We start from the raw sequence: 22459 nt of genomic DNA on the forward strand, positions 1-22459 counted from the left end.
CTGGAGTGCAATGGCGCGATCTTGGCTCACTGCAACCTCTGCCTCCCAGGTTCAAGCCATTCTCCTGCCTCAGCCTCCTGAGTGGCTGGGATGACAGGCATGCGCCACCATGCCCAGCTAATTTTGTATTTTTAGTAGGGATGGGGTTTCTCCATGTTGGTCAGGCAGGTCTCAAACTCCCGACCTCAGGTGATCCATCTGCCTCAGCTTCCCAAAGTGCTGGGATTACAGGCGTGAAATTGATTCTTTACTTGACAGCAAGCAAAAGATTTCTGTTCTGACTCATTATTTTTATTTAGGTTTTCATGCTTATGAGATAGAATATTCTACTTGAAGTTTAATTGGGGTTCCTATGGCTGCCCTGCAGTTTTTTCTGAGTTGCCTTCTTTTTCACAGAGGCATCAGTTATGATTCTGATTTAGAACCCTTGCAATGAATGCTTCTCTTTGCACTGCTTTTATAGCTTATTCTTTCTCCTTTCTACAGCAGTGGTTTTCATACCATTTCCCCCTTATCTTAAAAACAGACTGCTGTATTTTGTAAACAATGCATATATAAATAAACTGACTGTTGACAGGACCCCTTGTGGTGCTGCTTCTGCCTGCCACCTGCCCTCTCACAGAGGCCCTAGAGGCAATCACTGCTGTTCTGTGGGAAATGTCTAAAATATTTTAGAACACCTAAGCAAAGTAGTATAAATGGATGCCTTTTCTATATAACGGATTGTTTATTTGAATGCCCAGCTGCTCTTTTGTTTGTTTGTTTGTTTTGAGACAGAGTCCCACTGTGTCACCCAGGCTGGAGTGCACTGGCACAAACAATCTCGGCTCACTGCACCCTCCACCTCCCGGGTTCAAGCGATTTTCCTGCCTCAGCTTCCCGGGTAGCTGGGACTACAGGCGCGTGCCACCACACCTGGCTAATTTTTGTATTTTTTAGTAGAGACGGGGTTTCACCATGTTGGCGAGGCTGGTCTTGAACTCCTGACCTCGTGATCCGCCCACCTCGGCCTCCCAAAGTGCTGGGATTACAGGTGTGAGCACCGCACCTGCCCCAAATGCCCAGCATTTAAGAAAATCAACCATTGCAAATTACCTAAGTTAGAACATGCCCATCTTGGATGGACTTAGATTTTATGTAGGTTTCTTGAACAGGTAGATCACTGAATCTACATAAAACTCCTAAAATTGATCTTTCAACACTGTGCCTCAATTCTGTCTGCTCCTCAGTAAGTTCCCTCCTAAAATTGAACCTAGCTGCATGGACCAGTCCACAGTCCTGATTGTCCCGTGTGCCAAAGGCTAGAAAAAAGTTGTGATCTCTACCGTTAAGGAACTTGGATATGTGGTCAGTCATAAGATTCCTTGGTTTGCAACTCCTATTAACAAGTACCCTGTCATTCTGCTACATATATGGGTTTCCTTTCAAGCACCCATTTGTTACAAAGGAGTTTGTAGATTGAATGCTATTGTAGATGAATAGATTCCATATAAAATAATTACTGAATAATTGACAGGCTCTTTTTAACATGAGGTCACTGAAAATCCATAATTAAAACATTAAAAATGGGCCAGGCGGTAGCTCACGCCTGTAATCCAAGCACTTTGGGAGGCTGAGGTGGGAGGATTGTGTGAAGCCAGGAGTTCAAAATCAGCCTGGGCAACATAGCAAGACCCCATCTCTACAAAAAAATTTGAAAAATAGCCAGGCGTGGTGGCATGTGCCTTTAGTCCCAGCTTACTCTAGAGGCTGAGGCAGGAAGATTGCGTGAGCTCAGGAGTTCAAGGCTGCAGTGAGCTATCATCACACCACTCAGAGCAAGACTGTCTCCAAAACAGACAAGTGAACAAGAAAACATTAGTGACGGATCTAAGGAAACTTAGCCAAGTTTTGATAACAGAACCTGGGCGTTGTGGCATACTCTATAAAAAGCCATTCAGCAGCCTTCATCTACCTTTTATTCTGCTTCACTTTTATTTAACTTCTGTAGCCCTTTAAAAAAAATCAATCTTCTTGTTTTTATTTAGTATAACAGAAGAGAACTATAATTTCCTGCCACATAGCCCCTCCAAGAAAGATTCTGAATGGAAGAGTGGAACAAAAGTCAGTCGTACATTCAGCTACATCAAGAATAAAATGTCTAGCAGCAAGAAGAGCAAAGTGAGTATCACTGTGGGCATTGCTTGTGATCACCTCAGTAGGATCCTGTCACAGCCTGCATTCACACCAAAACTGGTTAAATCATGGGGACATAAATGGAAATAAATTCAGGATTACTCTCCGAAATCGCCTAATATTTAAAGGAAAATAATAAGAAGAAAAATAGCAAGAAGTGGAACTACCAGTTACTGAGTTTTCACTATATGCTAAGTGCTTTCCATATATTATTTAACCCTTTCAACAACCCTGTCAGGTAGGTGTTATCTCTCTTTTCTAAAAGTGATGTACCTTACCGAGGATACTCCTCTAATGTGAAGAAGTAGTTCAAACCAGATCTCTTTGGTTTCAAATCCCATACTCTTAAACCACAGTGCTTAAATCTGTAATATCAGTTTAAATGCAACAGAAGGATTTTATGCAAAGATCAAAGGATTGAAAATATTTATATTTGGCTTTAGAGGGAAGGATTATCCCACAGAAGATTACAAGAACTTTTAAGACTAATATGATTTCTTAGATCTATTTCTAATTAGGAGCATTTGGAATATATTCTCTTAGTGATTAAGAGATTAAATAAATGTTTAAACCGTGTGTGTGTGTGTGTGTGTGTGTGTGTCTGTGTGTGTGTGTGTGTAAGGCTCCACTGTATCACCCAGGCTGGAGCACAGTGGCGTGACCATAGCTCACTGCAGTCTTGAACTGCCAGGCTTAAGCAGTTTCCTGCCTCGCACCGTAGCCTCCCGAGTAGCCAGGGCTACAGTCATGTTGTGCCATCGTGCTGAGCTATGTTTAAATTTGTTTGTAAAGATGAAGTCTTGCTGTTGTGTCTAGGCCGGTCTAATGCCTTACCTCAAACACTCTTCTCGCTGCAGGCTTCCGAAGCCCTGGGTGTGATCCACCGTGCCCAGCCTAAAGTAACATTTTTTATCTAATTATTTTTCACATGCTCATTATGGAAATCTTCAAAATCTAAAAGTAAAAGAATGAAAATCTCCTGGAATAACCCCGCTTAGAGATAACTACACTTAATGTTTTGGTTTATATATTTCTAATCTTTTTTAAAAATGTATTTTCAAAAGAAAGGGAGAAAAGAAGTTCACTTTCTTATACTGATTCCCAGTGCTAAACCAAAACTGATTCCATTTCAAGTCCGTGGGGAAAAACTTTTCGCCTCTCACACCCTGTTCATCTACCCACAACACCCTCTAACAAAATAAAGACATAAGTAAATAAAAATTTGAAATCAGTTAAGGAACTCTTGCAAGGAATCACTGTGTGTGTGTGTGTGTGTGTATGTGTGTGTGTGCACGTGCATGCATGTGTGTGTGTGTGTGGTATATACATGTACATACAGATATATACACACGTAGATACATGCATATTTAGAAGTAAGGGAATAAACAAACATTGAATTCAAGAATATTGTCATAAAAGGGCATTGCCTCCTCCCTCACAAAACAAGGTGCACTAAGCTTCTCAAGCCCTCACTTCAGTGGGCTGATGGAAATATAGCCAAAGTATTTTACCATGTTTTGTAAGATCTCTTGGTTTAGCAAATACATTCAAAGAAATTTTTCCACCAAACGTGCCACAAGAATTGTGTTTTCATTTCTCCTGTGCAAGTACAGAATGGAGAGAAAGTAGGCAATCAGGGAGAGATGCAAAGAGTCTAGCAAATTATTTCTAGCATAATCACACATTTAACTTCAGACTCAGCCTTGTTTTATAATTCCAAAAAAAAAAAAAATGAAGGTCAAAGAATACTGCTTTACCAGTATTCTACGTATTTACATATTGGCAGCCAGGCTTAAAATAGAGCCTTACCTTTTTTACTTACCACTGCCGGCTTGGATACTAGTTGGTATCAACAAAAGAAAATCCCCTTGGACAGAGCAATATAAATTAGCCAAGTATTATTAAATGCTTTGTATAGTCTTAGCATTCCACTAGGTGTTAACAGGCACCTAAGAGAACTAAAGCTCATAGTCCTGACCTTGAAAAACTTTATGATCTAGTTTGGATGAATTCAAAATGTTTTCATTGTTTTTTATTTTGCTTTAAAACTACTGAATCTTGTCTTCAAACAAGCTTTTCGTGGAAGACCAATAAATAAGTGGAGATTCCCCCTTTCTAGCCATCTCCCCAATGTCATGGAGTTTTAGGACAGAGCAGTGAATGTACCACTCATCTCATGGATAAGGTAAAACATACACATGATAGGAAAAAAAACAACGTAAGATGGAATTTAGAAACTGGACCCTGACCTTTAAAAAAGTCTCAGCCCTCAGCCTAGCCTCCTTATTTTACAAACTGAGGCACAGAGATGTATGCTTCATGTCACACAACCTCACACAACCTCACACAACCTCCTGTTATCTGACTTCCAGGAAGTAGTACTCATCATTTTGTGTTTAAACAAAATGTTACTATACAGCGTAATTTTTTTCTTTTAACTTTTTTAATCTGAAAGGACTGGAGTTTGCTAGGAGGAGATGAGCAGAAAGGACAGGAGAAAACATATTTTGTGTTAGACCGAAATCTGTGATCACTGGTAGAAACTTTTAGTATCAGTTGACCTCTTGTCTCTGATCATCTCCTTTGTCAAAATGACAACACTTTTTTGCAATTGAGATTGGTTCCTCTTTCAGACTTGGCTTCAAGATTTGATCTCTTGGGGTCGTGCTGTCTTTAGCAGTGGAAACTCAAAAAATTACAAATTTGTAACCCTGAATTGTAGTCCATTTCCCATTACCAAGTGTTTAGAGTGCCCTAGTGGCAACTGTAAGTCACCTTTTATAGTGAGGTGTTACTAGCTCACTTTTAAATAAAATTGGAACAGCTTGGCTTTTGTCAATGTAGCAAAAGATGATTTTTTAAAAGGTGGGGGTGGGGCACAGTGGTACACACCTGTAATCTCAGTACTTTGAGGCTGAGATGAGAAGATCACTTGAGACCAGGAGTTCAAGGTCAGCCTGGGCAGTATAGTGAGACCTCATCTCTACAAAAAAATTGTAAAATTAGCTGGGCGTAGTGGCACACACCTGTAGTCCTAGCTACTCAGGAGGCTGAGGCAAGAGGATCACTTGAGCCGAGGAGTTCAAGGCTGCAGTACGCTGTGTGCACTCCAGCCTGGGCAATGGAGCAAGACCCTGTCTCTTAAAAAAAAAAAAAAAAAAGAGAGAGAGAGGAAAGAAATAGGGGAAATAGTAAAGCAGTATATTTTGTGTTAAATACCCTCACTCTGCTATGTATCTGCATAGCATTTTACCATGCAGAAGTACTGTATTTTCTAAATGGTAACATAAAAATTAATGAATATTAAATTTTCTTAACATAGTGATGCTAACTCTAATCTTGTTCTTAACTATTGAATAATGTTACTTCTCCATAATGTTAACAAATTGAAAGTGCTACTATGGATATTGACACTGATTTTTCTGTGAAAATGATAAATTTTCAGTTTTTAAAAATTATTTTTTAAATAGATGCTGTGAGAGACCGTCTGATCCAATTGTTTTATTAATCTACCATACAATAAAACTAGACCTACATCTTTTAAAGGAAAAATTTAAGCATCTACCGAATATAATATTAAAATGCCACCTGTAACTCTTAGAGAAGTGTCTAAGGATTATTTGAAAATGTCTGCTTTCCTTTTGCATGATATATATATCTTTATGAAAATAGGTTATAGTGATTAACCTAGATATATTCCATTCAGTTGTATAATTGTGATGATAAACAGTTCTTAAACATGTCCAAAGAAGCCAAAAGCCAGTAGGCAGTAAACTGTTCACATTCCTAGGAGGGTAACATATTTTGTCTGGATCACTGGGTTTTGTATATAAACTTAAGAAATTGAGTCCTTGATCCTATGTCCTTTTGAGAATTATCACCGACTGGCATAAGTGATTAGATTAGATAAATATATTGAATGTGTTTGTGGAAGATGAGAGGGGATGCTAAACAGGAAGTATAGCAGGAAGACTGGCAGTTTCTGCTTTTGTCTTAGTATCTTTGAGAGATAGTGCTGTTTCCTGCTAAGTAATTTTGCGTGTTACAGAGTATTTAAACACTCATATGCATGGTGTTCGAGTTCACAAAGGGAGTGTGGAATGACCCTCTTCAAACCATCCTATCACACTGGTTTTCTTTTTTCTAAACCACAGTTACTTTTGCACCAACCTAATACTAAGCTTTCCTCTTTGTAGACAAACAAGAGGTGGTTAGAAATGTTTTAGACAAATCTATTTGATTTGAAGTAGGTATTTTTGAGTGCACAGGTTAAATTCCTGCACAGCTGCAAGTATACTACATGACTTTGTAACAGGACATTCAGTTACAGCTCCTAGGTCCTGTGGTCTGTATAAAAAAGAGCTGTACCCATAGGCCTTTCAGAAGTGCCTCCTAGAGTAGTGTTTACAAAGACTTAATTTTAAATGTAATTCTCATTCCTTCTTTGATTAAAGATCTGTAACATGACAGTTGTTTGATCATATCATGTTTTCACAGTTGTCCAGAGTGTTCTTTTTATTGTAATTACATGTATAAAGGGGTATTTTTGGAAAAGTGAAGAATCACCTTTGATAGTGTCCTAGTGCAGTTGTTACCTGCATCTATCCCTGTTAAATACCGTTAGCCTGTTTCTCCAGCACACAGCTAAAGCATTTTGCCAGTTGTTAAACATGGAAAAGTCAAACTTCAGAAAATAACTAGTCACCACTTTACACCAGGCAACTTCACTGAAAAGTTTTCTTATGAAACTCACTGCATTTTACAAAATGAGGAGTCTATTTTAAAATAGGTAAGATGTGTTCCTTAACTTCCCGTGTAAAAACTTGGCCTCAAACCTTGCTAGAGTTCTTATATTGCTGCTTAAGCACTGTCCACACACACTGTTTTTGGGGGGAGTGAGGTCTCGTTTCATTTCCTGTATCCTTTGTAACAAGGGTTGTTGGCTTTAGCAGCAGCATTCAAACAGTTAAGACTGTCTTAAGGAAACAAGCAGCCTCAGCCCTCCCTCCTTCCCTTTCTCAGCCAGTCTCTGGCTTCCTCTTACGATTTCACTAATGGCAGCTCAAAGCTGCTGAGCTCTGCCCTGACGGCATGCGCCCCCGCTTCTGTGAGAGCACGCTTCCTGGCATGGGGGTCGAATCATGTCGATAAAATGGGCTCGGTTTCATGAAGTACCCCACATAACAGTGAGATTCATAGGACCAAAGCATGGGGAGGTAAGAGCCTGACTTCTTTAAAGCACTAAATTCTAGTAAACACAGAAAGAGCCAGTGGAGTTGGTTGTTTTGTTTTGTTTCCATCCTGGGAAGAACTAATTTGGATTGTTGCAAAGGGAAGCTATTTCTTATTTATTCAGGTTTGAAGAGCATTGCAAGGCTTGAGAGGATAAGCTGGTTGCCATAAAAAGATTTTTTAAACGATTGAAGTATAATTTAACTTTCCTGAGCAAAAAAATCAGATGCTTTTCCATTTAACATTTTATGCATGGAAAAACCTTTAGCAAAATTTAGTTAAAAGAAAGAAATTATTTGAAAAAACCCAAATTTAGTTGTTGATTATTACTAAAGTTTTATGTACTTTAGTGATTACCAATTTTCACTCAGAACAGCTTCCTGTTTTGTAAAGTGAAGGAGTTTTTCTCCCTTCCTCTCTCATTATTTTTTATAGTTCAAAAGTGTAGTAATTTGGCTCTTAGATGTTCATTATATGTATTTGATTAACAAAAGACTTCACATGAATCATAGATCTAGCAATTATTTACCATTTCATTACAGTGGTTGGGTTCTGAACAGAAAGTCAGAAGACCTGGGTTCCCATTTTGACTGTGCTGATCATCTGTTGTGTGACCTTTTGCAAGTCAACCAACCTCTCCAGTCCCTGGCAGCATAGTGCAGTGTATGAGAGCTGAGCTTTACAGTCAGCCAGATCTGAATCTTAATTTCAGCTTGAGCAGTTATTGGCGTGTGGCCTCAAATGCATTATTAAACATCTCTAAGCTTCAATCTCTTCAGATGTAAAATGGAGATAATACCTAGTATTATCATTGGGTTGTTGTGAGAAAATACATGTAAATTGCTTACTACAGTGCTTAGCACGTAGTAACTGTTCAGATTTTTAGCTGTTATTTATTATCTTTATCCTCTACGTTGTAAAATGGGAAGCATAATGCTCACCCTGCCCACTTCAGAGTTATTGAGTCAGACGAAATGATGTATGTAGAAGACATTGATTCAAAATGTTAAGGCATTTAGTAGTTGTCATGATCACTGACTTGGGACACCCATTTTCCTGGAATTTTTTTAGGACATAACAATGGTATTGACAATAGGTAAAACCTCTTACCTTGTGAATGGTAGGTCTTTGTAGTCCAGTTGGTTTGAAAGGAAATTATTTCATTGATACTGATAAGCCAGCCAAGTACTCTGCCAAACAGTGCTTCTAAAGGACCTTTTATGGAGAGCATGGTTATATCCCCATGGTCCTGGCCTCCTAAGGATGGTGTCCACCTGAAATGTCCCTGACTGCTTTAGATATTTCATTAAGGACCCACCACTCATCAGTAGTTCTTCAAGTTTTCAGTGTTTGAATTCCTTTCCGTTCCTCTTCATGACTGTGTAAGCTTTGACAACAGCCTCTCTTAGATTGAGGCTTGATGTCATATGAGTCCTCTGCTTTCAGTCTGTCTCTAGAACATTTCTGACATTCCTGCAGTATTCTTAAGGTGACATGGCCAACTTAATCTGGCACTTAGAGCTCCTGACTCTCAGCCCAGTGCCCCCACTGTTCACCCAGTCTCATGTCTCATTTGCTGGTGTCCCCTGTGCTTTGTACCTAGCCCGGTTTTGGCCTGCTCAGTAAGTAGAAGCACCTGGGCAGTGGCTGGGCACACAGGAAGCACAAGATGAGTATCAGTTTCTGTTGCCACTCTGACAAGTGAGGGAAGACCACAGGAAAGAAAGGAGCTTCACAAAAGAGGTCAGAGAGCACGGCGTAGGAAGCTTATCTTTCCAACCTAGGGACACTGCCTGCTTTTCCTGCCTTCCTGCACCCCTAGGTACTCAGGGTAGAGGAGTGAGCTACTAAGCCTTGGGACTTCCTTTCCCTGGAACCCCATTTTTTTAAAGGAAGTGACCCTGTTGGTATCTAGCTTGAGGAACAACAAAGGTGGTTTTTGAGAAAAATTATTAACAAGGCTCCTTCCTGTCATCCGTGCATTCTCCTATCCTCCCTGCCCTGCACCGTTGTCCTTTAGCCACTCCCCAATTTCTTCTATCTTCCCTGCTCACATCAAAACTTCCTTTCCCTTACTGCAAGCAATACCTTTCTGTGTTGGCTTAGGAGAATAATGAGCTAATGAAACTCATTTCCAGTAAATTATGAGTAATTAATAATATTGCTAAGCATTATTGTGTATTCACTGTGTGCCAGGCACTGTGCAAAATGCTTTAGAAATGTATTATCTCACCTAATTGTCATATGTTTTAAAAAACATATGAGATGGGTACTTTTGTGATTACTCCCATTTGACAAATGAGAAAACTAAGGCTCAGAGAAATAATTTACCTAGGGTCACGCTATTACTGAGTAGTAGTAGTGGTGGTGGTGGTGATGGTGGTGGTGGTGGTGGTGGCAGTAGTGGTAGTAGTGGTAGTAGTACCTGAATCTGAACCGAGGTCTGGTACCATCGTCCGTATTCTTAACCACTGTACGGTTTTCCAGCCTCCCCTTCTTATCAGTCTCCTCTTGCCGGTTTGAAAATTAGGGCAAAGTTAATATTTACAAACCTTAAAATTCTAATTAGCAGAAACTGAAAATGTATATGTGGGGCATATTTAATATTTCTAACTAGAGTAAAGGAGGAGACTTTATACATACTCCGTCACTTAGGGATATGCAATTGATGTGAGAAAGAGAGGAGCCTCGGTAATTTTTCATGCCACCCAGGCATCTTTTTTTCCCTCAGGCTGATCCCAGAATTGCTGCCACCCTTTTTTCTGCCCTCTGCCTAAAGCTGGCCCTAAACCCATGACTCTCTTCCTGTGTGGACTGTGCTGTAGCTTGCTGAGGAAGGGCTGTACTGAGGTGTCAGAAGCCTCCTTGCAGTGCTGGTCCTTGGGTATTGTGTCTGTTGGTAGAAGTAACCAATGAATAAGCCACTGCCAGAACTGTTCCGCCTGCCCAGTTTTCGTGTGAATTTTCTAATGTAGCTTGCGTGCCAACGCCTTAATTTAAAAAAACAAAACAAAACACTTTGCCCAGAACTTTGTTTCTCACTCCTTTCCAAAATAGTCACCAGCTGTTGTTAACCACATGCCATCTGGGTGCCCAGGTAAGGAGAAAGCCCTCCAGTGTTCAATTAACTGTGGATTATTTTCTTTTCTTCGGCAGGAAAAGGAAAAAGAAAAAGATAAGATTAAGGAGAAGGAGAAAGATTCTAAAGACAAGGAGAAAGATAAGAAGACTGTCAACGGGCACACTTTCAGTTCCATTCCTGTTGTGGGTCCCATCAGCTGTAGCCAGTGTATGAAGCCCTTCACCAACAAAGATGCCTATACTTGTGCAAGTAAGAGACATGCTTCTTCCTCTCGTAAGATGGAACTCTCTTGGCTCAAGAAAGCTCATTTCTTGTTTCCTGTCCCCACTCATTATCTGTTCCTCATTTATGTGGAGAAGTAACCCTTTTTATATCTTTCTTTAGACATGATAAAAGAAAGAAATTCTAGATGTATAACATACAGCCTATATTTTTTTCAGACAGCCCCAATTTCAAATACAGTCAAGTTAAGATGGTTCAGCCTAGCTTTTTAACTTTACAGTGGTTCAAAAGCAATACACGTTCAGTAGAAACTGTACTTTGAGTGCTGGTACACTCATTTCGTTTTTCACATTTAGTGCAGTATTCAATAAATTACATGAGATAGTCAACACTTTATCATAAAACTGGCTTTGTGCTAGATAATTTTGGCCAACTATAGTCTAATGTAAGTGTTTTGAGCATGTTTAAGATAGGCCAGGCTAAACTATGATGTCCAGAAGGTTAGGTGTATTTAAATGCATTTTTGACTTAATAGTATTTTCAATTTACCATGGGTTTATGTGGATGTAGCCTCATTGAAAGGATGAGGAGCATCTGCACTCTGTTCTATGATCTCTAAACCACTGCACGTTTTAAAAGTCTGTGTCAGCATCAAAATTATCCATAACCCCAAACCCTAAAGCTACTCAGTGGTCTTCTGTTAGATCATATGTGCTCATTTTTATTCTATTACTTTGGTATATGCTTCAGCCATTACCAACATTAAGCCATAGTGACGGCCAAGGGAGAGCACCTCCGTGCTCAGGGACATTCTGTGCTGACCTGCTGAAAGCCAAGTCTGCTAACTGAGCATTGTTCCTGGTTTTGATAAGACACTCTCAGGCAGGAGTTGCTTAACTTTTTCTGTACAAGACCAGATAAAAAGTATCTTAGGCATCGTGACCCACATGGTCTCTGTCACAATTCTTGAACTCTGCAGTTGCAGTGCAAAAGCAGCCGTAAGCAATACATAAACCAATGAGTGTGATTCCAATAAAACTTCACTTATGGATACTGAAATTTGAATTTCATAAAATTTTTGTTATGTAATAGTTTTTTGATTTTTAAAAACTATTTAAAATGTAAAAATTATTCTTAGCTCATGGGCTATACAAAAATAGGCTTCAAGCCACATTTAGCCCACAGACCATAATTTGCACGTTTTTGCTGTAAGGCAGTGCATCTCAAAATTTTGTCAGTGCACAGATCAAAAGTAGTATTTGTAGAGCATACCAGGGTAAATCAAGGAGGCTGCTTCTGGTCAGAGGTGACAGTCTGGAGTTCCAGCCAGTCCAGGGCCAGTCCAGTCACCCGGAAGGCTGAGGTAATTAACATGATACTATATCTATAACCAATTCAGATGTTATAGTGACGAATTCAGATGTCAAGGAGCAACTCTCAGACCATGATGTCCTGAAATCTTGTTTTCAGTCATTTATGTTGGATATCCCAAGTAATTTCTTACTAAAAATAGTTAACTTACTGAAATCTGATTTTTTTTCTTTTTTTTTTTGAGACAGGGTCTCACTAGTTGCCCAGGCTAAGTCTTGACCTCCTGACATCAAGTGATCTTCTGGCTCAGCCAGCCTCCTGAGTAGCTGGTATTAGGCATGCACCACTGTGCCTGGTAGAAATTTGAAATGTTTAAAAGTGTATTTGGGCCAGGCGTGGTGGCTCACGACTATAATCATAGCACTTTGGGAGGCCGAGGTGAGCGGATCACCTGAAGTCAGAAATTCGAAACCAGCCTGGCCAACATGGCGAAACCCCGTCTCTACTAAAAATACAAAGTTAGCTGGGCTTTGTGACACGTGCCTGTAACCTCAACTACTCGGGAGGCTGAGGCAGGAGAATTGCTTGAACTTGGGAAGGGGAGGTTGCAGTGAGCTGAGATCGTGCCATTGCACTCCAGCCTGGGCAACAGAGTGAGACTCCATCTCAAAAAAACACACACAAAAAAACGTGTATTTGGACAGATTGGAAGTTACTTCTGTGATGATTTTCACTCACTTTCTTGCTTGGAAGAGGAGGAGTGGAGTTACAGCTAGCACACAGCCTGTCTAATCTGTGCTACAGTTCCTGTGACTTTTTGATATGACTGACTTTATGACACACATTCATGTAAAATGATTTTTATTGGATGTTACACCCCCAAAGTAGTCAGCAACACTATTTGTTTTACTGTCCTATTTTTTCAAAAGTAACCAAAAACCATGAGAGCTCTCACCCGAATCCTCATGCATCCCTGTGGGCAGAGATCACACACATTAATGTCATCCTTCATTTGTGACTTACCAGACCATTGAGAGCCACTACCACATAATAATAATTTCATGTAACCTCTAGGAAACAAGAGACTGTCACTGTTCAGTATTCCTCCAGTGTTTATTTTGGAACCCAGGTTCTAATAGGACTCTTCTGGGACACCAGTCGGAGGTCTATAGTTTAGTTTTTTAGCCATTGGACACAGTTAGCTTCTTAGTACTGGAATAACCTGGTTGCCTAGAGCAGTAATCACCAAGCATTTTATAGCATGTTCACCTATTATTAAAACATTTTTAGCATACTCACATAGGATACATACATAACATAAAAATTACATACAAGTCCTACTGTGCCATACTTTCCAAGAGCTCATTCTAAAAATAAGTCTCAGAATTGCCATTTTCTTGTTTTCTGGTTAGTTATTAGTATGATTAGTATTGTCTTTGATTCATGACTTCTTTGAAGGAATTTGTGTAACTCTCATCATTTTCATTTGATTTTAGTGGAAACCAGGTAATATAATCCATAAGCCCACTTTATTGGATACCTGTATGTTTCCATTCATCACAACATGCTGAAAGTAAACAAATGTGGATTATGCATGCCCAGCCCATCTCCTGAGTGAAGAATACCCCGCTCCCTTAAGAAACCTCTAGTGTCACATATAAAGTGAGGCTGCCTAACATAAAGACTGAGCGAGGCACCCACTTATCAATTAGACATTAACTCAATTTTTCTTCTACGTTAAGGAGTCATTTTAAATAAGAGCTGTAAAATCTTCCTCCTGTGTTCCAAGGGATTGTTTTTTACATCCCTCCTTGCAGTGTGCCAGTTCTTCTTTTGGAGAGCACTGATCTCAGAAAAACGGGAAGAGGCTGTATTTCTTGATTGGCAGTATGAAATTAATATTCAGGGAACTTCATCAGTAAAGCAGACTAGATACCTGCCTTCTGCTATAAAATATAAAATGCTAAATAAAATCTATTTTTTAAAAAATTAATACATAGCTGAACCTGCCAAATAGAAAATTCCTGAGGGAACTCAGAGCAGTAAAGAGCATGCCCCCTCATTTGGGGTCAAGATATGCGGCCTCAGGGTATGTAGTGGGAGCTGGGACTGAGACCCCTGTATAAGAAATGCTGTTTTAAGACTAACATCCATGATGAAGGGCCTTGGAAAATTCTACCCAGTGGCCTTCAGAAGCAGAAAGGAACCTTACAGTCTCCCCAGGTCCCTGAGTGAGAATTGATGAATCTGGAGTCCAAGTTTACACCGTCTGTATGTGCTAGAACTTCAGGCTAAGAAACTTTCACAAGAGGTTACATGAAATTCCAGTTTAGGAATGACAGATCCTTGAGGGACCCAGCCTGTAGCAGATGTAGAACTGCTCCATTGGGTTAGGTTGACAAATCAGTATACCCAAGGCTACGGCAGGAGGAATAAAATCCTATGAAGCCGAGCTCATGATAAAAGATACATAGATGCCACATAAGGAAGTAAACCACCATGAGGAAGAATTAGGGGATGTACAAGCAAGAGATGTTGAAAATCACTAAAAGGGGCCGGGCGCAGTGGCTCACGCCTGTAATCCCAGCACTTTGGGAGGCTGAGGTGGGTGGATCACAAGGTCAGGAGTTCAAGACCAGCCTGACCAACATGGTGAAACCCCGTCTCTACTAAAAATACAAAAATTAGCCAGGCTTGGTGGCGTGCGCCTGTAATCCCAGCTATTCAGTAGGCTGAGGCAGGAGAATCTCTTGAACCCGGGAGGCGGAGGTTGCAGTGAGCTGAGGTCGCGCCACTGCACTCCAGTCTGGGTGACATAGCGAGACTCCATCTCAAAAAAAGAAAGAAAATTACTAAAAGGATGAAACGAATAGAATCTATAATGGAAGAAAAAGACGTAACAACTAATGGGTAGATTTAAAAACAACTGAGTAAAATTTAAAGCATGGAAATAGTCATTGAAAGGTATTCATGGATTTTTTCAAATATTTCAGCATATTGTCCTGATTTATAATTGTTTATAAAGGAATAAGATGGCTTCTACTCTGTTGTCTGCATTAGTAAGGGGAGAGCTTCAGTCTAGAAAGTCTTAATGACTTCACACTGGATTTGTTTTTTACATTTAATCATAAATAATTGTACCCTTAAGTCCTTGATCTTATATGAAGTCAATCAACAAAGTTCATTTGACTGAATTCTGCAAGCTACTGTGTTTGATATGTGATTCATACAAAAGCAGTTTGTCAACAAATATTTATTGAATATCAATATGAGTCAGGCACCCACAGTGGCTTAAAAAAAGGAATTCTAAAATGATCCTTCGTACTTATTTATTGTGAACTTGTTTATATTCTGGAAAAATTGAAAGCAATTTAAATATCCATCCATAAAATATAGTATATTTTGTATAGTATATAGATGGATAGGCTGATAATAAAGAGAGAATATAAGGGCCAGGCACGGTGCCTCATGCCTGTAATCCCAGCACTTTAGGAGGCTGAGGCTGGCGGATCACTTGAGGTCAGGAGTTGGAAACCAGCTGGCCAATGCGGTGAAACCCCATCTCTACTAAAATACAAAAGTTAGTCGGGCATGGTGGCAGTGCCTGTAATCCCAGCTACTTGGGAGGCTGAGGCAGGAGAATTGCTTGAACTTGGGAGACAGAGGTTGCAGTGAGCCGAGATTGAGCCACTACACTCCAGTCTGGGTGACAGAGCAAGACTCTGTCTCCAAAAAAAAAAAAAAAAAGGAGAGAGAGAATATAGGACAGATCAGAGGTTGCCAAACTTTTTCTGCAAAGGAACCAATGGTATGTTAGGCTTTGCAGCCCATCAGGTCTTTGTCATGACTACTGGACTCTGTCCTTGTAGCACAAAAGCAACCATAGACGATGGATGTGACTGTGTTCCAATAAAAATTTATTTACAGGCCTGGCACGGTGGCTCATGCCTGTAATCCCAGCACTTTGGGAGGCCTAGGCAGGTAGATCACTTGAGGTCAGGAGTTTGAGACCAGCCTGGCCAACATGGTGAAACCCCGTCTCTACTAAAAATACAGAAATCAGCTGGGCATGGTGGTGCACGCCTGTAATCCCAGCTACTTGGGAGGCTGAGGCAGGAGAATCACTCGAACCCAGGAGGCAGAGGTTGCAGTGAGCCGAGATCGAGCCCCTGCACTCCAGCCTGGGAAACAGAGCGAGACCTTGTCTCAAAAAAAAAAAAAAAAAAAAAAAAAAATTTACAAATACAGGCTGTGGGCCTAATTCAGCCCAAGGACCATAGTGTGCCAAGCCCTGGGAGAGATTTGCAGGTGCAGACAGAGCTCTCCAAGACATTTTGATGAGTTGGAAAGTCAGTAAATAGAACAATATATACAGCATGATCCTAGTTTATGGAAAACAAACAGTTTATATAAATTTACAAAAATATGCCAGGGATGGTGGCTCACAGCTGTAATCCCTGCACTTTGGGAGGCTGAGACGGGCAGAACACCTGAGGTCAGGAGTTCAAGACCAGGCTGGGCAACATGGTGAAACCCCATCTCTACTAAAAAACAAAAAATTAGCTGGGCGTGGTGGTGCATGCCTGTAATCCCAGCTACTCAGGAGGCTGAGGCAGGAGAATCACTTGAACCCAGGAGGCAGAGGTTGCAGTGAGCCAAGATCACACCACCGCACTTTAGCGTGCGCAACAAGAGTGAAACTCTATCTCAAAAAAAAAAAAAATTCTTTTTACAAAAATATCTGAAAGGCTATACACCAAACTGTTAACAATCTGAAGAAAGAGAAATAAGGAGAAAAGGAGTTGAAGAGGACTCTTTATTTTATTCTTTTAGATTGTTTGAATTTTTAGAGAATGTACTTACATATTATTTGTATGTCTAAAAACAAAATGTAAATATTGGACCACTGATAGTTTCAAAGGTTTTTCTAGTTATTTATCAGCTGATCTCTGATGAAGGCACAAAATAAGTTGGTATTTGATTTGAGAATTTAATGGACAAAGCAGAATTACTACCAGAACAGAGTAAGCTTATAAGCCTTGAGGAGAGTTGTTCTACCACTGTTATTGATAGCACCAGCTTGAATCAGAAGTAGTATAGTTGATCTACCAACTCTCAGTTCTGGATTGTGATGTGAAACATTATCAGGAGATTTAAGGTTGAAAGTTATAGACAGTCTTTTTGAAGACCCAAAGAATCTTGTGCTATAGAGGACAATAGATTTAAGAACCGTTGGCTTATGGTTATAATGAGTGGCTGTACCTTTCCATGACTAGCTCCAGATAATTTTGCAATTTTAAGTTCAGGCTAAAAGAAGTTGTCTAATATATGCCAGTGTATATTTAGCCTTGTATTGCCATTGACTTGTGTATATACATTATTTCTAGGTTACAAATAGTTGAAATTTGCCCTCTTTGGCTATATTAAGTCTTTGTCTACATTAGACTATCACTCAGAATTAAACCTGTAACTGGCATATAATAAATTTATCAGATAGCAGAAATATTCAGTTAATGTAGGAGAATGCACAGGCATCCTAAGCCCATTTTTGCTTTCTTGATATGTCTTCCTGTTAAACATGATAGAAATTCTCTTTTACTGGACTCCCTGGATGATGAAGCACACATAGCTAGGACACCACAAGTTATTAGACTCCTTATGCTATCAGTGTCGTATGTGCTAGAACCGCCTCTGGAGAGCAAGATCTGGGTTACCTCTTGGAGACTTCCATTGCCCAACGATGCCAGAGGTACCCGTGGAGAATCACTTGTGTAGGGTTTGGTATTGACTGGGGAAAACTGTAGGAAAGGTTTGAGGGTCTGAGATTCTCAGCCACACTTCTGTGTAGTAATTAGTTTAATGGATAGGGCGGTAGCTTTCAGGATGTCAGGTGTTTGGAAGCTCCACAGATTTCTGAATTTGTGTATATTTAAAACTACATAAAAACGTACCTTCTTAAAGGTATAATTCCCAAATTTTAACATCAACATATCAGCTTTAGCTATCAGCCTACCTATTCATTTGTATTTTTCCTTCCATCTCTAATTAATTGAAGATTATACTGTGATTGCAAGGCAAGCCATTAAAAAAAAACTGCTAATATTGGTTATTTATCTACATGAAGAACGTTAAGATGTTCTCTGTGTCATGTACTCAAAATTAAATAAAGAAATTAGAGGTTGTGGTAGGTAAGTGAATTGCGAATGTCATGCACCTCTGACCTCACGTTTTTAGTTCATCACAGCTGCTTCATTGTTCTCATTAACTTTGAAAGTAAATATTAAAATTGCAACTCAAAATAAATCTGTACTGTTTTACATATCTGAACACAGTATATTAATATTTCATATAAGACTTTTTAGAGTTTTTCTAGTATTTTGGAAAACCAGTGAAATAGTGGATTGGCTACTGGTTCTGTGCTAATAGTGTTTATAAGTGGAATGGGACTTTTTTTAATATGAAGTCACCCAAGGAATTTGCTTTTTCTGGAGGCACGTTATTTCATGAAGTCCAGTGTGTTATCACTAGACTAAAGTCTTTTCTGTTTGGGAAGTCTGTCGGTGGGGACAGGGGTCATAATAACCTTTGCTAGTTGTTCTTTGATTTTTGGTAATGGCTTGATCTAATCAAATATCAGAGATTATCTTAGTTCTACCTGCTCAGCAAAAACCAGGAAAAAGAGTTAACATATTTGAGGGGTTTTTTTTGTTTTTTGTTTGTTTGAGACGGCGTCTCACTCTGTCACCTAGGCTGGAGTACAGTGGCGCAATCTCGGCTCACTGCAACCTCCTCCTCCCAGGTTCAAGCGATTCTTCTGCCTCAGTCTCCCAAGTAGCTGGGACTACAGGAACACGCCACCACACCTGGCTAATTTTTTTTTGTATTTTTATTAGAGTTGGGGTTTCACCATATTGGCCAGGCTGGTCTTGAACTCCTGACTCAGGTGATCCACCCTCCTCAGGCTCCCAAAGTGTTGGGATTACAGGCGTGAGCCACCATGCCTGGCTATATTTGAGGTTTAAACTGAAAAGTATCAGACAGCAAAAAGGAATAGTTTAAGTTGGGCTTGACTGTTACCCTAATATGCACTAAGTTTCAAAAATACATTCTTTAATTTGCATACCACCCTACTCCAGAAGTAATGTAGAAATAGTCTCAACATCTGGTGATAGCATTAAGGTTTATGTAAGACAGTCTGCAGCCTGCCTCTTATAAAAAGAAGGGGGTAGGCCAGGCACGGTGGCTCACGCCTGTAATCCCAGCACTTTAGGAGGGCAAGGCAGGTGGATCACGAGATCAGGCGTTCAAGACCAGCCTGACCAACATGGTGAAACCCCGTCTCTACTAAAAATACAAAAAATTAGCTGGGCATGATGGTGGGCGCTTGTAATCCCCAGCTACTTGGGAGGCTGAGGCAGGAGAACTGCTCGAACCCGGGAGGCGGAGGTTACAGTCAGCCAAAGATCGCGCCATTGCACTTCAGCCTGGGTGACAGAGCAAGACTCACACACACACACACACACACACACACACACAAAAGGAGTGAAAAGGATTGAAAGCAACAAAATAGTATGTAGTCATCTTCTCAAAGGAACCAAAGTAATGGGCTGATTATCTTCAGCTTCCTGAAGAAGCTGAATGTTTGTATGTAGGAAGTCCCATGTGTTATCTTGGCAGGAAGTAGAAAATATGAGTAATTTGGGGACGCAGAATCTTTCGTCACTTCCCTCCATCGCGTCTCATGTCCAGGATCTTCCCAGGAGTCGTAGGAAATGTAGCATCCATGCAGTTAGTCGTTTACCTCCTAGGAAACCTTTGTGCTCTTAGGAGACAGTGGCTTCCCATTGTGGTTAAGTGTAACCCTGTTTGGCTGACCCCTGGATAGAGCTTCATACCCTCAGCACTGCATAGTCACCTTTGACTTGTGGTTAGAAAGATCAGCCATATAGTCCATCATGATGATATGTTATGATGGTTTATACAAGAAACTGGGACTTTTTATCTCAGCCAAAACGCTACTCTTGCTTTAGGATTAGGTGACTTTAACAGGGTTAATAGAGGAATGTCTTTTCAACTCTTATTTCTCTATTATGTAAAGCTGTCCTTGAATAGTCAGCTGTTCTTTCCAGCTGCCACAAATAATTTGTTCTTTGAAAAGCTTAGTGACTTAGTGGGGTCTTTCAGAATAAGGAATTTGTTATGTTCAGGTTTTGGGGTCTTGCCAGTGGTTCTGTTTTGCTTGCTTTAAACAGATGTAAAATGATACTGAGATTATTGCTGATTTATTTTCTGTTGTGCTAGCAGCATTTCAGTACTTTTGTGGTAGGTTGTTTCTTTTACATAAAAAATAAACAAGTAAACCAGCTGCAATCTAAGTAGGAAACATAAGAATTTAGAATGTGTGTGATGGTTAGATTTTACTTCTGATTTCATCAGAAAAGTTGCCCTCTAGACAGTTTTCTGGCATTTATAGTTCATTGCTTATATGAGAGAATAAAATACATATAGTTGATTAAAGGAAGGAAGTTTATTACTTAGGGAAAAGGAAGGTAAAAAAAGACCCTAAGCAATAAAGGCAATTCTTTTTTAAGCAGAATACTTTCATTTTATTTCATTTTTGTTTACCAGTGTTGTTACGAAAACTGCTGCTGGGGCTACTTCAGCTGAGATGATTTGGCTCTTTTTTGTGGCTTTCTTCTTGTTCTGTACATCAGCACTGTGGTTATTACACCAGCTACCAAGAACATCTCACATGCCTTTTGCATATAAGCACTCTTAGTCCAGATAGGGCGATGTCTCAAATCCCCCAAAGATTTTATTTATTGGCCAGGTGCCGTGGCTCACGCCTGTGATCCCAGCACTTTGGAAGGCTGAGGCGGGTGGATCACCTGAGGTTAGGAGTTTGAGACCAGCCTGGCCAACATGGCGAAATACCATCTCCACTAAAAATACAAAAAATTAGTCAGGCGTAGTGGCATGGACCGGTAATCCCAGCTACTCAGGAGGCTGAGACAGCAGAATCACCTGAACCCAGGAGGCAGAGGTTGCAGTGAGCCAAGATCGTACCACTGCACTCCAGCTTGGGTGACAGAGCAAGACTCCATCTCAAAAAAAAAAAATATATATATATATATATACACACACATATATTTAATAATTTTTTTTTGAGAGACAGGGTCTCTGTTAAAGATTTTAAACAAGAAGTTTAAAGTTGCAGAAAGAATTTTGTAGCATGCATTTCTAAATTTGCTCATATTTAACTGTTTTTTGTTTTATTTTCATTTTCTTGGTTAGAGTTGAAATGATAGGAGAAAGTTGTGCATTTCTATCCTTAAAGGTAATTCCTCAACTTGTGTCCTGGAGAAGAATCAGGTCATTTTTCCCAGTTAGATTTTGCTGCTCACATCTGTAGGCAGAACAGTCAGAAGTCTTCAGCCTATTCCCAAGTGATGATCAATGAACTGAAGTACTGGAAGACCTTTTTTGTCAGAGCCTTGGCTGCATATGACTCAGCTCCCAAAGGTGGCTCGTTTCTGTGTAGGCAGTCCTTTGATATTCTGTCATTTCATTTCAGTTTGGCATGGCCACTCCTCTTATCATTGTATAAAGTTGATTTTCTTAAGTTAGCCTCGCTAATGGTTTGTTTTATTTTTCTTCCGAAAGATAAAAAACACATAGTATATAACCATTCGCCAAAGATCTGTGGTGGTTGGTGGCATGGGTTAAAAAAAAGATACAGCAATAGATAGATGATAGTTTCCAGTCATGTGGGTTTAACTTCATTTTCTTTGGTTTGATGCCTCCTTGTAGCAAAGAAAGAAGTTGAAGGCTGGACTGTTTGTTTTAGGTACAGAGGAATCCGATTAGGGATCAGCTCTGTTCCCATAAACCACTGTGCTGAGACCTTTTTGAAGAATTTTAAAAAATGAAAGCATATTGCCTACTGCTATTAGGAAATCTATCAAATAAATAAATAAAAGGCCAGATAATTATTTTCTGATCTTCATAACAACATGGTATGGTTTGTGGCAGAGAGCTTAAAAATGTATTAGATTTGTCTTCAATTCTTGTGTTCTTGGTAATTTTCTGTTTTCCCAAACAGAGAGTAAGATTTTAGTCTCATGACTTTGGCTGATGTCAGTGGGGCTGAAGTTTCTAAATCACCCACGCACAGCTCTAAAACTGTCACTGTGAATTGAGTCCAGGACAACTTGGAAACAAGTTGAGTGTTTTTCAAGTAGGTACTTCAGCATGTTAAGGAGATGTCCATGCAAACTATCACTAAGAGAAAACTCATGACCATAATATAGAGCGTGTTAAACTTCCAGCTGGGTTGTGGGTTTGGGGACATGTTTCAATTAATTAAAAGTGAATTTATGTGAAAAGTTCTTTACTAGAAGCACATTTTAAATGATTTTTTTCTGCTTCTATGTTCAT

The 22459-nt window shown here is 39.8% G+C and overlaps 1 protein-coding gene across 3 annotated transcripts in view, besides 8 other annotated features; it reads left to right on the plus strand.

Moving 5' to 3' along the window:
- The window catches only part of AKAP13 (A-kinase anchoring protein 13), a 368756-nt gene that overhangs the window by 302111 nt on the left and 44186 nt on the right, over positions 1-22459 (plus strand). For all 3 annotated transcript variants that reach the window (NM_007200.5, NM_006738.6, NM_001270546.1), the window contains 2 exons: positions 2028-2160; positions 10564-10738. In NM_007200.5, the coding sequence (NP_009131.2) occupies positions 2028-2160; positions 10564-10738 (308 nt within the window). The remainder of the gene's footprint in view (positions 1-2027; positions 2161-10563; positions 10739-22459) is intronic.
- Positions 4884-5193: an enhancer, noted in NCBI's record as "active region_10018". NCBI's record gives its function as "activates an Ori minimal core promoter by ATAC-STARR-seq in GM12878 lymphoblastoid cells {active_cell/tissue: GM12878}" and the evidence as "EXISTENCE:reporter gene assay evidence [ECO:0000049][PMID:35858748]".
- Positions 8787-8836: an enhancer, noted in NCBI's record as "active region_10019". NCBI's record gives its function as "activates an Ori minimal core promoter by ATAC-STARR-seq in GM12878 lymphoblastoid cells {active_cell/tissue: GM12878}" and the evidence as "EXISTENCE:reporter gene assay evidence [ECO:0000049][PMID:35858748]".
- Positions 8987-9076: an enhancer, noted in NCBI's record as "active region_10020". NCBI's record gives its function as "activates an Ori minimal core promoter by ATAC-STARR-seq in GM12878 lymphoblastoid cells {active_cell/tissue: GM12878}" and the evidence as "EXISTENCE:reporter gene assay evidence [ECO:0000049][PMID:35858748]".
- Positions 10017-10066: an enhancer, noted in NCBI's record as "active region_10021". NCBI's record gives its function as "activates an Ori minimal core promoter by ATAC-STARR-seq in GM12878 lymphoblastoid cells {active_cell/tissue: GM12878}" and the evidence as "EXISTENCE:reporter gene assay evidence [ECO:0000049][PMID:35858748]".
- Positions 10507-10556: an enhancer, noted in NCBI's record as "active region_10022". NCBI's record gives its function as "activates an Ori minimal core promoter by ATAC-STARR-seq in GM12878 lymphoblastoid cells {active_cell/tissue: GM12878}" and the evidence as "EXISTENCE:reporter gene assay evidence [ECO:0000049][PMID:35858748]".
- Positions 15204-15373: an enhancer, noted in NCBI's record as "experimental_42385 CRE fragment used in MPRA reporter constructs". NCBI's record gives its function as "activates a minimal promoter by MPRAs in K562 erythroleukemia cells, with activity observed for both the introgressed and non-introgressed 15:86241233 or rs11636347 variant alleles {active_cell/tissue: K562}" and the evidence as "EXISTENCE:reporter gene assay evidence [ECO:0000049][PMID:34662402]".
- Position 15289: a transcriptional cis regulatory region, noted in NCBI's record as "Neanderthal adaptively introgressed variant 15:86241233 (GRCh37/hg19 assembly coordinates) or rs11636347 in the experimental_42385 CRE". NCBI's record gives its function as "modulates activity of the experimental_42385 enhancer by MPRAs in K562 erythroleukemia cells {active_cell/tissue: K562}" and the evidence as "EXISTENCE:reporter gene assay evidence [ECO:0000049][PMID:34662402]".
- Positions 22139-22268: a silencer, noted in NCBI's record as "silent region_6785". NCBI's record gives its function as "represses an Ori minimal core promoter by ATAC-STARR-seq in GM12878 lymphoblastoid cells {active_cell/tissue: GM12878}" and the evidence as "EXISTENCE:reporter gene assay evidence [ECO:0000049][PMID:35858748]".

This window comes from Homo sapiens, chromosome 15 (assembly GCF_000001405.40).
Source record: "Homo sapiens chromosome 15, GRCh38.p14 Primary Assembly".
Taxonomy (NCBI): Eukaryota; Metazoa; Chordata; class Mammalia; order Primates; family Hominidae; genus Homo; species Homo sapiens.